General features: G+C 42.0%; 1 protein-coding gene across 2 annotated transcripts, besides 3 other annotated features; it reads left to right on the forward strand.

Moving 5' to 3' along the window:
- On the forward strand, nucleotides 1,119-13,888 carry VMA21 (vacuolar ATPase assembly factor VMA21). Of its 2 annotated transcripts, none has more exons than NM_001363810.1 (3): nucleotides 1,119-1,581; nucleotides 8,155-8,264; nucleotides 9,440-13,888. In NM_001363810.1, the coding sequence occupies exons 1-3, from the start codon at nucleotides 1,364-1,366 to the stop codon at nucleotides 9,580-9,582; spliced, it is 471 nt and encodes a 156-aa protein (NP_001350739.1). In that variant the 5' UTR covers nucleotides 1,119-1,363; the 3' UTR covers nucleotides 9,583-13,888. The 2 variants fall into 2 exon arrangements, with proteins under 2 accessions (NP_001350739.1, NP_001017980.1); NM_001017980.4 differs by lacking the exon at nucleotides 1,119-1,581 and adding an exon at nucleotides 1,730-1,885.
- Nucleotides 1,571-1,730: a silencer, noted in NCBI's record as "silent region_21056". NCBI's record gives its function as "represses an Ori minimal core promoter by ATAC-STARR-seq in GM12878 lymphoblastoid cells {active_cell/tissue: GM12878}" and the evidence as "EXISTENCE:reporter gene assay evidence [ECO:0000049][PMID:35858748]".
- Nucleotides 2,011-2,160: an enhancer, noted in NCBI's record as "active region_30026". NCBI's record gives its function as "activates an Ori minimal core promoter by ATAC-STARR-seq in GM12878 lymphoblastoid cells {active_cell/tissue: GM12878}" and the evidence as "EXISTENCE:reporter gene assay evidence [ECO:0000049][PMID:35858748]".
- Nucleotides 2,221-2,280: an enhancer, noted in NCBI's record as "active region_30027". NCBI's record gives its function as "activates an Ori minimal core promoter by ATAC-STARR-seq in GM12878 lymphoblastoid cells {active_cell/tissue: GM12878}" and the evidence as "EXISTENCE:reporter gene assay evidence [ECO:0000049][PMID:35858748]".

The raw sequence follows: 15,661 nt of genomic DNA on the forward strand, positions 1-15,661 counted from the left end.
TTAAGTAGCTTTGGATGCCTAACAGTAAATAGATTCATTAGGTTTTTAAAAATATTAAAAACTGCCTTCAGAACCACCATTACTACATTTATGGGTCCCTAGGGATTGAAGGACCTCACTGCAGGCTGATTAGCTAGAGCAGGGGTCAGCAAACTCTTCTGTAAAAGGGTCAGATGGTAAGAATTTTGGGCATTGCAGATCATTTTGGGCGTTGCAGATCATACCGTCTCTGTCACAACTACTCAACATTGCTGTTGTAGATAATACAAACAAATGAGAATGGCTGAGCTCCAATAAAATTTTATCAATAGACGCTGAAATTTGAATTTCATATAAATTTCACGTGTCATGTTATTCTTTTGACGTTTTCAACAATTTAAAAAGGAAAAACCATTCTTACCTCAGGGCTGTAGAAAAACAGGTGGTAGGCTCCATGTATTAGGTCGGCTGGCTCAGTTTGCCTACCCCAGAGCTAGATTCTCTTTGTACCCCAAGTTCTTACATTAGGTGGTTCTTACTCACCTAAAGGTCTAGATGAGGCCCAGATAGAGATTACTATTATTTTTATTAAATATTTTACAGTTTGTTTTTTAGAGACGGAGTCTTGCTATGCTGCCCAAGCTGCTCTGGAACTACTGGCCTCACGCAATCCTCCTGCCTCAGCTTCCCAAAGTGTTGAGATTACAGGCGTGAGCCAGCACAGTCAGCCCTAGAGGGGGATTATTCAGTTTGAACTAAAACCTGGACTTCCTGCTGCCCAGTCCATTGCCCTTTCCACCACTCTAAGCTGCTGGTTTAGTCATGATTTCAGATGTGGTCTTTGTATCCATGTGGTGCAGAAAATAGCTGTGTGGTCAGCGGCCCTTTCCAGGCGCTGACCATGTTAAGGGCTGTCCTCTTATTAGCAGCCAGTGGCAACTTAATTTTGTCAAGCCTGACTCCAGACTTACCCACCCTTTCGTTTTTACCTCTCTCGGGTTGCGCAGGCCCGGGAGGCCCATCTGTTCTTACTATTTGAGTCCCTGTTGTCTCATTGGCGGCTTTCTGAGCAGCTGCAAAATATGTTTTTAACTTTTAAGTGGAAGTTGGGGGTCACTGGCATCGAGTCTGGAACAGTCATTCTCAGCAAGAGCTCTTTGAACTCTGACATTCTCTAGTTTTACGGACTCGGGTGAGTGTTTTAACTCCTCCCAGCTGCCAAGGGCTTGACTTCCTACCACTGCGGGCAGTAATTAATGAGGCATTTATTTGCTCAAGTAGTGGCGAAATAATGCGCACTGCTTTTTTGTGTTGTCGTCGGCGGAATACGCTCAGTTGCCTAGCACCACAGCCCTCTGGCTGGTAGTCCCTCTTCGCGGCTCATATGCTCGGGTCTCCTTGCGGCCCCCAGCTCAGCGACCGAGACGCAGACGAGGACCAGTGTTCACGCGAGTTCAGGGGGCGGCGTAGCCGCCGCCCGCCCAGGAGGACCATGTTGCGCGGCAAGTCCCGGCTCAACGTGGAGTGGCTGGGCTACTCGCCAGGCCTGCTCCTCGAGCACAGGCCCCTCCTGGCAGGGCGCACGCCGCGGAGCCACCGCCGGTAAGTCATGTGAGCGCCCGCCCCCGCGCCGGCAACAGCCCTGCGTCGCTGCGGCGCGCCGCGCCGCGCCGCGCCTGCGTACTGTGGCCCGCCGCCCGGCGCGAACGGGCACTTCCGGCGCGAACGGGCACTTCCGGCGCGAACCGCTACTTCCGGTGCGAACCGCCTCGGCCGTTCCCTCGCGGAGCTTACTGAGCGCGGCCGCCGAGCCCAGCTCCGCCGCCGAGCGCCTGTGCCGGCACGGCTACACCATGGAGCGCCCGGATAAGGCGGCGCTGAACGCACTGCAGCCTCCTGAGTTCAGGTAGCCCTGAGCGGGGCCTGGACCGCGAGGCGGACTGGCCCCAGCCTGGAGCAGGGCTTGAGGGAAGGCCCTAGCTGAATGGGTGGGCGTGAGGTCTGGACCCCGGGGACCTGGCCTCAGGGAAGGGGGCGGGGAAAGCAGGTTGGAGCCTGAGACGTCTAAACTCCCGGCCCCGAACTTTCGCTCGGGAACAAGGGATCCGGGGTCATGGGGAATAGGTCAGTGGGCCTTCAGCTCATGCTCCTATCCTAGCACTTTCTCTCGCTGTGTCTATATTGCAGTCTCTTTCATTACCGCAGGGTCAGCCTTCTGAGGACAGGAATGCAGTCTCCTTCATCTCCGTGTTCCCTAGGGGGCCTGCATAGTCGGGGCTTAATAAATGTTTGCTGTATGAATGAAGGAGTAGAAGGGAATAGTCCCCTGGTGTGAGATTGCTTCACTTGGGGAATCAGTAAGATAGAGGCTGGTGACTGAGTTGAAGGAATGTATGAGAGAGCAGGTGGTTCTGGCCCACCCCAGTAGGCAAGGGAGTGGTGAGGGAGTTAGCTATCATTCGTTAAGACCTACTGTATGCCAGGCTCAGTGCACGTGCTTTACATACATTGTCAGAATTCTTAATTTCTCTAACTGCTTGATTTCCCAATTTTGAAGAGGATGCAGTTGAGGGTAAGTGACTTGAAACTGAGGGTGAGTGATTACAGAATTAGGCGACAAAGTTAGTATGTAATTGAAGCTAACGTTTGACCAAGCTCACTGACTCCAAAGCCCACGATCTTTGGAGCTCTGTGATGCCTTCTCTTTCCGACAGGGTCATTGTGAGTTTTTTTTTTTTTTTTTTAACTTTTATTTTAGGTTCATGAGTACATGCGCAGGTTTGTTATATAGGTAAACTGCATGTCACGGGGGCTTGGCGTACAGGTAATTTTGTCACCCAGGTAATAAGCATAGTACCCGATAGGCGTTTTTTCTGATTCTCTCCCTCCTCCCAGCCTCCACCCTCAAGTAGACCGCACTGTCTGTTGTTCCTCTCCTAGTGTCCATCTGTTCTTGTTGTTTAGTTCCCACTTATGAGAACGTGCAGTATTTGGTTTTCTTTTCCTGTCTTAATTTGCTTAGAATAATGGCTTCCAGCTCCAGTCATGTTGCTGCAAAGGACATGATCTCATTCTTTTTTATGGCTGCATAGTGTTCCATGGTGTATATGTACCGCATTTTCTTTATCCAGCCTCAATGTGGGTTTTTTTTTAATTATTCATTTATGAGAATACCAACATATTTTTATTAGATACACTTACAGCATAGTCCTTCTAGACTGATTCTGGTTTCCTAATGGAATTTGCAGTGAAATCTTGACTGTGGGAGAAAGAATTCCTGTTGTCTTACTTGCTACAAAAGGGAATGTGGTAGGCTCTGTCTGCTCAATGTTGGCTGCAGAAGTTTGTATGAAGTGGGAAAACTAGGTGGTGTTATAAATGGAGGCAGATTAAGGTTCATCCTGAACTTTTTCCTTTGTGTGAGGACAACTTTAATTCCAGCCTTTCTCATTCCTCACTTCTAACAAATCTCTGCTCAGTAACACCCAAAGATACATAGGATAAATCAATTGAATAGCATCAGTTGCTTTGTCTTGGATAAGCCACTGATTTTACCCAAGGTGGCTTGCATCAGCAAAACCAACAGCTCTTGTGGCTGGAATCCAGGGAGAAAATGTCCTATAAACAGTAGAGGAAGTTTGCTAGTTTTCAAAAGTTTGTATGTACACTTTGACTTAATGCTTAGTCCCATATTAGTGAGGTCACAACACAGAAAAGTAGTCACATTTTTGAAGTTTGAGGTAAAGAGAGAAGTGAGAAGGAATTAGCCATAAATTATTAAGGTATGCTGTGTATAGATTGTGTGGGGGCTAGAAATTAATATGTAGAAAGGTTATATTTGGGTGGTGGGATTATAGGTGATTTTGTTTACTTTAAAACATTTTTATGGTGTTATATCATCTTTTCAATAATAAACTTTTTAAAAGCCAGACCAGATAATAGATACTCAAGAGAGGTCATGTAAAGAACAAAACAATCAGTTAACACTTCCTTTCTGTTCCTTTAACAAGTTAGATAATCTGAAAGTTGCATTCCTAAAACATACTTTTTTACTCACCATAGAAACACCAAAGTCAAGTGCTTTTTTTAGGGTGCACAAAAGAATTGGCCAATTAGTGACTCTTTGTATTTTTTGTAGATTCTCCACTGCAGACACTCATACTCTTCATGAGGATTACACAATAAATTTCTCTAAAAATTTACTAGTAGGAAACAGTTTAAGGGAGCTTATGTATATTAAATGAGAGTTGTATAGCTCAGTAATAACCAAAATGAGGCCTGCTAAAAGATGATCCATTTAAGTACCAAAAGAAAATATTAGAACTTTTTTTTTTACAGCAGTAAGCATTTAATTTCTCACACATGTGCAGAGCATGTGATCAAGAAATAGGCATGAGGTTAGTTATATTTAATATATATTTTACTCAATGTTTTTGTGGGTTTTTTGTTCAGGTTCTTTTTAAATAAATTTCATTGTGTATATTTGAGGTTCATAACATGATGTTATGGCATACATATAGTAAAATGATTACTATGGTGAAGCAGATTAATATATCTGTCATCTCACATACTTTTGTGTGTGTGTGACCAGAGGCAGCTAAAATCTTATTTACAAAAGTCCCTAATACCATGCAACTTTATTGCCTATAGTCCTCTTGTACATTAGATATCTCACTTGTTAATCCATATATCTACTGCTTTGTGTCCTTTGATGTATATCTTCCTATTTCCTCCCCTCCAGCCTCCCACCCCCACCGCCATGGTAACTACTGTTTTATTCTCTGTCCCTGTGTAGTTGACCGTTGACCTTTTTTTTTTTTTTTTAAAGATTCCACATATAAGTGAGCTCATGTAGTATTCGTCTTTCTGCGTTTGGCTTATTTTACTTAACATGTCTTCCAGGTCCATCCATGTTGTGGCAAATGGCAGATGTCCTCTTTTAAGGCTGAATAAAATATTCCCTTGTATATATACACTACGGTTTCTTTATTTTGTCTGTCTACATACACGTAGGTTGTTTTCAAATCTTGGCTATTGTGAATAATGCTGCAATGAACATGGAAGTGCAGATATTTTTACGAGGTAGTGATTTCATCTCCTTTGCTTATATTCCAGAAGAGAGATTGCTGGGCTGTGTGGTAGTTCTATTTTTAATTTCTTTAGGAACTGTTTTCCATAATGGCTGTACCAGTCTACATTTCCAGTCACAATGTAGTAGGGTTTCTTTTTCTCCACACTTTTACAAACATTTGTTATCACTTGCCTTTTTGATAATAGCTGTCCTTAGAAGTGTGAGGTTATATCTCATAGTGGTTTTGATTTGCATTTCCCTGATGATTTAGTGATGTTGAGCACATTTTCATTTATCTCTTGGCCATTTTTATGTCTTTGGAGAAATGTCTGTCCAGCTGTTGTCCATATTTTAATCAGGTGGTTTTTCTGCTGAGTTGTAAGAGTTCTTTATAAATTTTGGGGTATTAACCCCTTACAAGATAGGTGGTTCGCAAATATGTTTTCCTAGTCTGTAAGCTGCCTTTTCATTTTGTTGATTGTTTCCTTTGCAGTACAGAAGCTTTTTAGTTTGATGCAAGCCGCTTTATTTTTTCTTTTGTAGCCTGAGCTTTTGGTGTGATATCCAAAAAATCATTACTGAGGCCAATGTTAAGGACCTTTCCCTCTGTGTTCTTTTATGTCTTAAAACTTTATATCTTTATGTTTTAGTTATTTTATCCATTTTGGGTTGATTTTTGTTTATGGTGTAAGAGTCCAGTTTTTTTCTTTGCATGTAGAAATCCTGTTTTCCCAGTACCACTTATTGAAGGGACTGTCCTTTCCCCATTGTGTTCCTCTTAACACCCCTGTCGAAGATTAGTTGGCCATATATGTTTGGATTTATTTCTGGGCTCTATTCTGTTTCATTGTTATATGTTTCTGTTTTTATGCCAATACCATATTGTTTTGATTACTATAACTGTAATATTTTAAATCAGAAAGTGTGATGCTTACAACTTTTTCAATGTTGCTTTGGCTATTTGGGGCTTTTTGTGGTTCTGTATGATGAATTTTAGGATTGTTTTTCTATTTTAATGAAGAATGCTACTGTAATTTTGATAGAGATTGTGTTATATCTGTATGTTGCTTTGGGTGCTGTAGACATTTCAACAGTATTAATTCTTCCAATCCATGAACACAGGATATCTTTACATTTATTTGTGTCATCTTCAATTTCTTTCATCAGTGTTTTATACTTTTCAGTGTACAAGTCACTCATCGCCTTGGTTAAATTTATTCCTAAGTTTCTTTTTTTTTGAAATAGAGTCTTGCTCTGTCACCCAGGCCAGAGTAAAGTGCCCCAATCACTGCTCACTGCAGCCTTGACCTCTGGGGCTCAAACAATCCTCCCACTTCAGCCTCTTGAGTAGCTGAGATTACAGGCACGTGCCACCATGCCCAGCGAATTATCAAAATTTTTTTTTGTAGAGGTGGGGTTTTGCTGTGTTACCTAGGCTTGCGTCAAACTCCCGGCCTCAAGCCTCAGCCTTCCCAAAGTGCTGGGATTACAGGCATGAGCCACTGAGCCTGGCCCCTAAGTATTTTTTTTTAATGCTATTATAAATGAGATTGTTTTCTTGATTTCTTTTTCAGCTCAGTAAAGGATGCGGAAGTTTGTCAAGTGCTTTTTCTGCATCAACTGAGATGATCCTACTTGGTCATAATATATAATCTTTTTGATGTATTGGTTTTGTTTGTTTGTGACAGAGTCTTGCTCTGTTGCCCAGACTGGAGTGTGATTTTGGCTCATTGCAACCTCTGCCTCCCAGGATCAAGGGATTCTTGTGCCTTGGCCTCCCAAGTAGCTGGGACTATAGGCACACGCCACCACTCTCAGCTAATTTTTGTATTTTTAGTAGAGACTGGGTTTTGCCATGTTGGCCAGGCTGATCTCGAACTCCTGGCCTCAAGTGATCCGCCTGCCTCGGCCTCCCAAAGTGCTGGGATTACAGGTGTGAGCCACCACACCTGGCCTGATTATTGTTGAATTTGGTTTGAAAATATGTTATTGAGGAATTTTGCACCAGTGTTCATCAGTGATGTTGTCCTGTAGTTTTCTTGCTGTGTCTGTCTGGCTTAGGTATCAAGGTGATTGGAGCCTCTTAAAACGTGTTTGGAAGTATTCCCTCTAGCTCGATTTTTCACCCATAACAGAAGTTCCTATTCCAGCTGGGGAGGGCGCACTGGTCCGTTCGCCCTGCCTACCTCCTTCAGTGGTCTGGTGTCTGGTGCTGGTGGTCAGGGTTGCTGCACGGGCTCAGGGACTGGTGTGGCAGTGGCTTCCCTGGGCCAAAGCTCTGATCCCAGTGGGGGAGGGCACGCTGGTGCGTCGGCTCCACCTGGTTAGTTTGCTGGTCCACTGTCTGGTGCTGGAGGACAGGAGGCTGGCAGCTTTCCCAGATGCAAGCTCCGATTCCAGCGGGAGAGGGCACACTGCTCCACCTGTGGTGCCTGCCGAGTTCCCTGGTCTGGTGTCCGGTGCTGGTGGTCAGGGTTGCTGCGTGGGCTCAGGGACCAGTGTGACAGTGGCTTCCCTGGGCAAAAGCTCTGATTCCAGTGTGGGAGGGTGCACAGGTGTGTCTGCCTCGTTAGTTCCCTGGTCCACTGTCTCATGCTGGAGGACAGCAAGCTGGTCGCTTCCCGTGACGGAAGCTCTGATTCCAGCAAAAGAGGGCGCGCTGATCCACCCATGGTGCCTGCTGCGTTCCCAGCTCTGGTGTCTGGTGCTGGTGGACACGGTTGCCGCATGGGTTGGGCACTGGTGCCGCTGTCCGCCGTGGCTTCCCTGGGTAAAAGCTCCAGTTCCAGAGGCAGGGGCACTGAGTTTCTTCACTTAGTTTGTTCACCCAGCTTGTTGGCAGTTGATCTGAGGTGCCCTGACGCTTCGTCTTACACTGGATATGAATGACAGTCCCTAAAGGTGGTGTATAATCTTCATGTTCCAGCTCAAGAAATTCCCACTACCCACAGCTGGTTCTCTAGGATCTTCGGATTACGAGTCCCTGCCTGTGATCTTCCTCCTGCATAGCATCTCATTTGTGGATGTTTATAGTTTCAGGGACATAAGAGCGTTTGGATATGACTGTGCAGGTTCTGATTTTCTCTTTGTTTACTTTATTCCAGAAATGAAAGCTCATTAGCATCTACACTGAAGACGCTCCTGTTCTTCACAGCTTTAATGATCACTGTTCCTATTGGGTTATATTTCACAACTAAATCTTACATATTTGAAGGTAATCTTAGACCCATTAAAACAAGATGTTTTCCCCCAATTTAAGATTCTGTGCTTTTATGACCTCTTTATATCTTTAAACTGGGTATTCTTATTTTTTTCTTGTTTAGCTTTTCAAAAAATCATATTGCTCATAATGAGTCTTTATGAAATAACTTATTGTTTCAGCTTGACAGTTTTCCTATGGTTTTCTGTGAAATAGCTTGCAAATCCTTTCTCTTAGTACCTTTTAAAGAATAGGGGTTGGCTGACATGGGAGGAGGAATTTTGGGGGAATGGACTTTAGTGTCAGATAACGGAAGGAAGAGAGAATGAAGTCCCCTTTTTGATGTTGAAATTTTTTTTTTTTTTTTGAGACAGTTTCACTCTTGTTGCACAGGCTGGAGTGCAATGGCGCGATCTCGGCTCACCGCAACCCCCGCCTCCCATGTTCAAGCGATTCTCCTGTCTCAGCCTCCTGAGTATCTGGGATTACAGGCACCCGCCACTACACCCGACTGATTTTTGGTATTTTTAGTAGAGACGGGGTTTCGCCATGTTGGCCAGGCTGGTCTCGAACTCGTGACCTCAGGTGATCCACCCGCCTCGGCCTCCCAGAGTGCTGGGATTACAAGCGTGAGCCACCGCACCCGGCCTGAAGTCTTTATAATTATGGTTTTGTTTAAAACAATGTTTGTTTGTTTGTTTGTTTGTTTTTGAGACGGAGTCTCGCTCAGTCACCCAGGCTGGAGTGCAGTGGTGCGATCTCGGCTCGCGTCAAGCTCTGCCTCCCAGGTTCACGCCATTCTGCTGCCTCAGCCTCCCGAGTAGCTGGGACTACAGGCGCCTGCCACTACGCCTGGCTAATTTTTTTTGTATTTTTAGTAGAGACGGGGTTTCACGGTGCTAGCCAGGATGGTTTCCATCTCCTGACCTCGTGATCTGCCCGTCTTGGCCTCCCAAAGTGCTGGGATTACAGGCGTGAGCCACTGCACCCGGCCAACATAATGTTCTTAATATATAGAAGGTACTCATATCTTTTAGTGAATACTTTATTCATTACCACCCAAAATATTACTTTTTAATTGCCTGACTAGTTAAATAAATACATCATAAAAATTAGGATGCTTTGTTTTTTTTTTTTGTACTTTGGTAAATTTTGCAATAAAATGGAAACTGTTTTTTTTCTCTTGATAGGCGCCCTTGGGATGTCCAATAGGGACAGCTATTTTTACGCTGCTATTGTTGCAGTGGTCGCCGTCCATGTGGTGCTGGCCCTCTTTGTGTATGTGGCCTGGAATGAAGGCTCACGACAGTGGCGTGAAGGCAAACAGGATTAAAGTGAACATCACCTTTTTATAGCATTAAATTCATTTTTTAAAATGATAAATGCTGGAGGGGGCCATCTGATTTGAATAAAGTTGAAAGAACATGTTAAAGTCAGTCTTAAGGAGTCACGTTTGAGTATGTAAATTTTGATCTTTCTAATATGTTGGTTTGTATATTCAGTTTTAACTGTATGAATCTGATTTGCAAATGAGAATTTGGAAAAGTTAGTTACAAAGAAATATGTTAATTTAATTAGACAATACTCTGGAAGGAATTTTATCTTCTTTCAACAAAACATGTTTTATAGTATTCTGACTTACGGTTGCTTTTGAGTTTTACTCATTTGGATATATTAAGATGCACACAGTGAAGCAAATTAAACTCCACTTTACGCTGGAATGCTTTCTTTAGCATGAAAATACCAGGTCCTTGGATTTGGGATTTTAATTTCCTATGGAAAGTTGCTTAAATTGTGGACACTGGAATTAATCTGAATGTCACTGAGGAATTTCACATGAAGTGTAATCCCTAGTCAATAAGAATTATCCATTACATTATTTTATGGGAAAACTAGGCTAAATTACATCCATTCAGGTAAAAGGACCTTAGCTTACTGAAGGATCTAAAGAGCAAAGCAAAGATCTCACTACTCAAACACTCAGCCTGCTTCCTTCAAGTCCCCTTGCAGGCCAGCTTTGTGCTTTGCAGACCAACTTTTTAATGAGATACTTTGCTTCCTCATTCAACATTGAAGCTAGGCTTCAATTAAAAGGTTCGAGGAAGCTCCATTTAAAATTGTTTTTTTTACTATTTTTTAAAATTGTAGTGTATATGATAGGAATTTGCATTTAAATATGTTCATTTTTGCATATGTTAGGAGTGGAAACAATCTGGAAAACATTTTTTTTTCATCCAAAAAGTATTCTCCTTGGGCATATCTGATGGAAAAAAACCTTGATTTTATTTTCGTATCTTTAGTCTGTGTTCTTTCTAGTTATTTGGTACTAATTATGTGCAATCTAAAAACACTCCCACAAGTATTTGTTTTTTAATTATAAAATCATAGTATATGTTCTTTGTAGAAAACTGGAAAAATACATATTCAAACAGGAAAAAAAATCAAAATTCCCCATAATGTTGCCATCTAAAAATAACCTCTATTTTAGTTGATATCCCGTATTCATTTTTGAAAGCCATTCCTTAATGCTAGTTTGATACACACTAAAAGTTTAGCTTACAAGTTCAAATTCTGCCAGCTTTTCCTGACAGCTATTTGCATTTTTTTCAGATGAGTGATTATTGGCCATTTTCTTTTTCTTTTTCTTTATTTTATTTATTTATTTTTTTGAGACAGAGTTTTGCTCTGTTGCCCAGGCTGGAGTGCAGTGGTGCAATCTCGGCTCACTGCAACCTCTGCCTCCTGGGTTCAAGTGATTCTCCACCTCAGCCTCCCAAGTAGCTGGGACTACGGATGCCTGCCACCACGCCTGGCTAATTTTTTTTTGTATTTTTTTGTAGAGACGGGGTTTCACCATGTTGTCCAGGCTAATCTTGAACTTGTGACCTCAGGTGATCCACCCGCCTCGGCCTCCGAAAGTGCTGGGATTACAGGCGTGAGCTACCACGCCCGGCCTTATTGACCATTTTCTAAATAAGCACATTCTATCTTTATTCTCTTAAAATTCAAATTTTCTGTTACTGATAATCCTAATACTAGGATTCTTGCTTAAGTATGTGAAACCATTACCGATTTGTTGTTCACATTTATTTTTTATGTTGTGAAACTGGACTAAAGGAATAGAGGGATGATTAGTCATAAAAGTCAAATAGCATTTGTGTTTAACTGTTGAGAAAAGTGAAAGATCAGTATGATTATTATGGAACTGTTTTTAATTCTTGCTTAAAGACTACAATTTTAGTATAATGACATTTGAGTCTAGGGTAGTATGTGGTAGATTTCTAGATGGTCCCTAATTAAGAAGTATTGTTGTATTTAGAATTGTCCACCTAATTTCTTTTTATATAATGCCAAGGTATTTCTTGTGCTTTTGGGATCTTATGCTGTTTGTAAAATGTTACTGTCCAATGTTGGATTATTGTTTTGGTTTCAGGCATTTGCTGAATAGGTGATGATACATGGGTATTTTTCTGCAAGTATTTAAACCAGGGGCATATGCAAAGGCAGTTGTAATTTCCTCTTGGAAAAAGCGCCAAATGTTTGAAGGTTAAAATCAAATGCTAGGGTTGATATTTAGGCTTATAACAAAATAGGCTTGTTTTCAAAGCAGTTTTTTCCTAGAGTTTTAACTGTTAACTCACTAGTTTGCTGCTGTTTTTAACTATGTTAAATAACATATGGTATTTGGCAAATAGATTTATTTTTCAAAATGTCTCACTAGTTTCCTTTTACACAATGTATATACTTCAAGATGTATAGAAAGGAAAGCTACAGTTGAGCCCTTATACATGTTTTAAGGTAGAAATATGTTCCCTATTGTTTGAAAACTGATTGTAAGAATAACCTCAGTTAGGAGATATAACTTGAAGTGTCAGTCCAAACTACTGATTTAACCCTATTTACGGTAACACATTACCTTCCTCACCTCCTGTTTGGCCCTGGAGAATGTAGTCCTTTTTCTCATTTGTGTTGAGAAATGAAAAGTCTGCTGTAGAATGTATCTGATGTCATTAGTTCTTCAAATGGATACCATTGTACATATAACAGTAGAATTTGGTTTGGGGTTGTTAGTGAAAAAAAATTTAAACCTGCCATTAAAAATCCCCATGTTTCATGGAAATCTAACAGAAATACATTGTAATAATTAGAACATTTTGTTTTCTTTTTTCTTTTTTTTTTTTTCGAGACGGAGTTTTGCCCTTCTTGCCCAGGCTGGAGTGCAAGGGCGCAATCTCGGCTCGCTGCAACCTCCGCCTCCCGGGTTCAAGCAGTTCTCCTGCCTCAGCCCCCTGAGTACCTCAGATGACAGGTGCGTGCCACCACACCCGGCTAATTTTTGTATTTTTAGTAGAGACGGGGTTTCACCATGTTAGCCAGGCTAGTCTCGAACTCCTGACCTCAGGTGATCCACCCGCCTCCGCCTCCCAAAGTGCTGGGATTACAGGTATCAGCCACCGTGCCTGGCCTAATAATTGGAACATTTTCATCATGAAAATGTCATCAGCTTTGCCAAAAGAAACAACCAATTGACTTGTTTGGCGTTTGTTTTCCATTTTCATGTCAATTTTATGTATACAGTTAGAATACCCAAGGAGACCACTAAAATCAGTTAAACAAGTAGGGTATATACAAAGAAAGATGAAACCCGAAAGTACATAAAAAGGATTTAAATCCGATTTTAGATGTACCTAGTGTGTATTTCTTATCTCTAGACAAGTTCATGTTTATTGTTTAATTTATGCCCAAGTGAAGTTGTAAACTTATGGTTCAACTCTGACACAGAATTTGTCACTTGTCTGAGGTCAGTGGCAGGTTTCTCTGCTGTCAAGCACTCTGTGTCACCCACCAGATTAGTATAACTATTAATTCAGACTGTACTCCTATGTTTAAGATAATTTTTACAAGAGCTGGCTGAAGCAGCACATTAGTAACCTGACAAGATTTCTTTTTCCCTTTTCAGGGGGAAAGGGTCACCTTAAAAATAAATTATTTTCAGGGACTTTGGGAATCTAATGATAAATATTACACATAATCTATGAATAGCTTAATCCTTTATATATTCCTTAAAATAGGAATTCCTCGACATCACTCCTGGCCACACTTTCCTTGCCTGTGTTGTTGCTATGTGTATTTGAAAGTAATATCTGCATTCCTTTTAAGATGTTCTGTAAGTCATATTTGTCAGTTATACAGAGTAGTCTTCCTTTTCCCCACGTTCAGTGTAATCTCACTGAACAGTAATAATAGCAATAGCTAACAACATCTGCACAGCACCTTACAGTTTGCAAAGAACGTTCACACATTCTCATTTGAGTTTTGCATAGTGAACCTGTTACGAGATGTCTCTTGACGTCGATGCTAAAAGTGTTAGAATCTTTACATCACTAGAGTCATTGAATATGCTGTAGTATTGAATAGTGCCCTGACTAGGGGGAGGATTTGGATGTGCTGCATTTCAAGCCGTGTATAATCATCAAAATGGGGGGCTTGAGTTCTTTAGCTACTTGAATCCGATTTACTTCTGTTAAGTGATGCTTTTCTAACCGTTTTCTGGATGGATTTTGTATTCACTATATTGTAGCTTGTAATTTGTATAAATGTACCATCTGATGTCATTAAAAAAAGTGTTTGTAGTGCTACTTTGCTGTGTCCTGATTCAATTAATGTTTTATTAACCGCTGTGTTTTTAAAAATTTGTTTGCCTGCTTCTCATTTTATAACATGTAGAATATGTACAGAGCTCACTTTAAAAAATTTGTTCGTTGGCCTCTGTTTGTGCTATGTAGATTATATAGAGAGCTGTCAAGGATAAGTTTTTATGCAGTAAATGTCAACCAGAAATGCTCAAACTGATTGGGAGTGTGGGGGAGGGGTGTTGAGCTGTAAAGGGCTGGTTATACTTCGTCTGGGGTGGGCTTCAAATGCCCCTAAAGGAGAGTTGAGAAATGTGGAAATAGATAATTCCTGACGACGTCCACATGCCACCCCCTCATGACCAATGTCCTGTGTCCTCTGTCCTCTAATCACCCGTTGATTGCACTCCAGCTCCTTCCTGTGCTTCTGAGGACTCCAGCTAATTCTTACTAATAAATGTTAATATCCCCTTCCCAAACACATTTGAGACGTCTTAGTATTAACAAATTTTATAGGTTATGAGATGTCCAGGGAACTCAGGAAACAGGTAATGGCATTGCAGAAACTACAGGACAGCAGTTCTGAAAGTTTACTGCAATCACCTTGTAGGATTTATTAAAAATAACTGATTGCCCAAATGTAACCCAGACCTTCTGAATCGGACTCTCTGGGGGTGGGGGCCTAGAAAGCTCTTTGGGGCAGGGCGTGGTGGCTCATGCCTGTAATCCCAGCACTTTGGGAGGCCGAGGCGGCGGACCACGAGGTCAAGAGATAGAGACCATCCTGGCCAATGTGGTGAAATCCTATCTCTACTAAAAATACAAAAATTAGCTGGGCACAGTGGTGCGTGCCTGTAGTTCCAGCTACTCAGGAGGCTGTGGCAGGAGAATCACTTGAACCTGGGAGGTGGAGGTTGCAGTGAGCCGAGAGCCTGGTGACAGAGCAATACTCTGTCTCAAAAAAAAAAAAAAAAAATTTTGGAACAGGCAGTGATCAACATGAAGCTGGATTGAGAACTACTGCTGGAGATTTAGAATTGTGCCTCCCAGTGTATGTGTTTAATGATGGACTTGAAGATGTTTGTATAAAGCCTGAAGTAAGCACACACCTTATTAGGCAAAGGTAGAATGTTGATAATGCTATATCGAAGGTGCAATTTAAAATAAGGAGACCTTTACTGGGTTCCTGACAATCCATATTGACTTTGCTTCAGTGCTAATGAATGATGTTGAATGAAAATTTTAGTACGGGGAACAGCCAACTTAAGACACAACTGAGGCGTGCGTAGATAGACATGGCCACTGCTGTGCCTGTGATGCCTTTTTCTTATTTGGAATCCTCACTGCTGTGGACTTTGGAGAGAAGGAAAACCAATAGGAGTATGTGAATTTGAGGTTTCTAAACCAGAGAGGTAATGGAGAAAAGCAGAAATGGTTTCTAGGCACATTTGTGCTATTAACCCTCTGGCTTCCCTGCCCCCCATTACCTTTCACTGCTTACGTGCCTGCACTTCCTTTCACATACGCCCTGCTCTTGCGTCCATTAAAGATGCATTGAGGTTAGCCCTTTTGGTAAATACAGGATGAAGGTGGAGAACATTAGTTCGCAACCTGGCAACCCAGGGATGCTTTCCTCCAAAAGAGGATCCAGCAGCCCTGAGGGAAGGGATACTACAAATGGCACACCCTGCATCTGTGTGCATCTCACCACCTTCAATGCTCCCACTTCGGGCCAGCCCAGATTTACTCCTCGCCTGGAGCCTCAAATTGGTTTCTTCT

The sequence above is a fragment of the Homo sapiens genome, chromosome X (assembly GCF_000001405.40).
Source record: "Homo sapiens chromosome X, GRCh38.p14 Primary Assembly".
Lineage (NCBI taxonomy): Eukaryota > Metazoa > Chordata > Mammalia > Primates > Hominidae > Homo > Homo sapiens.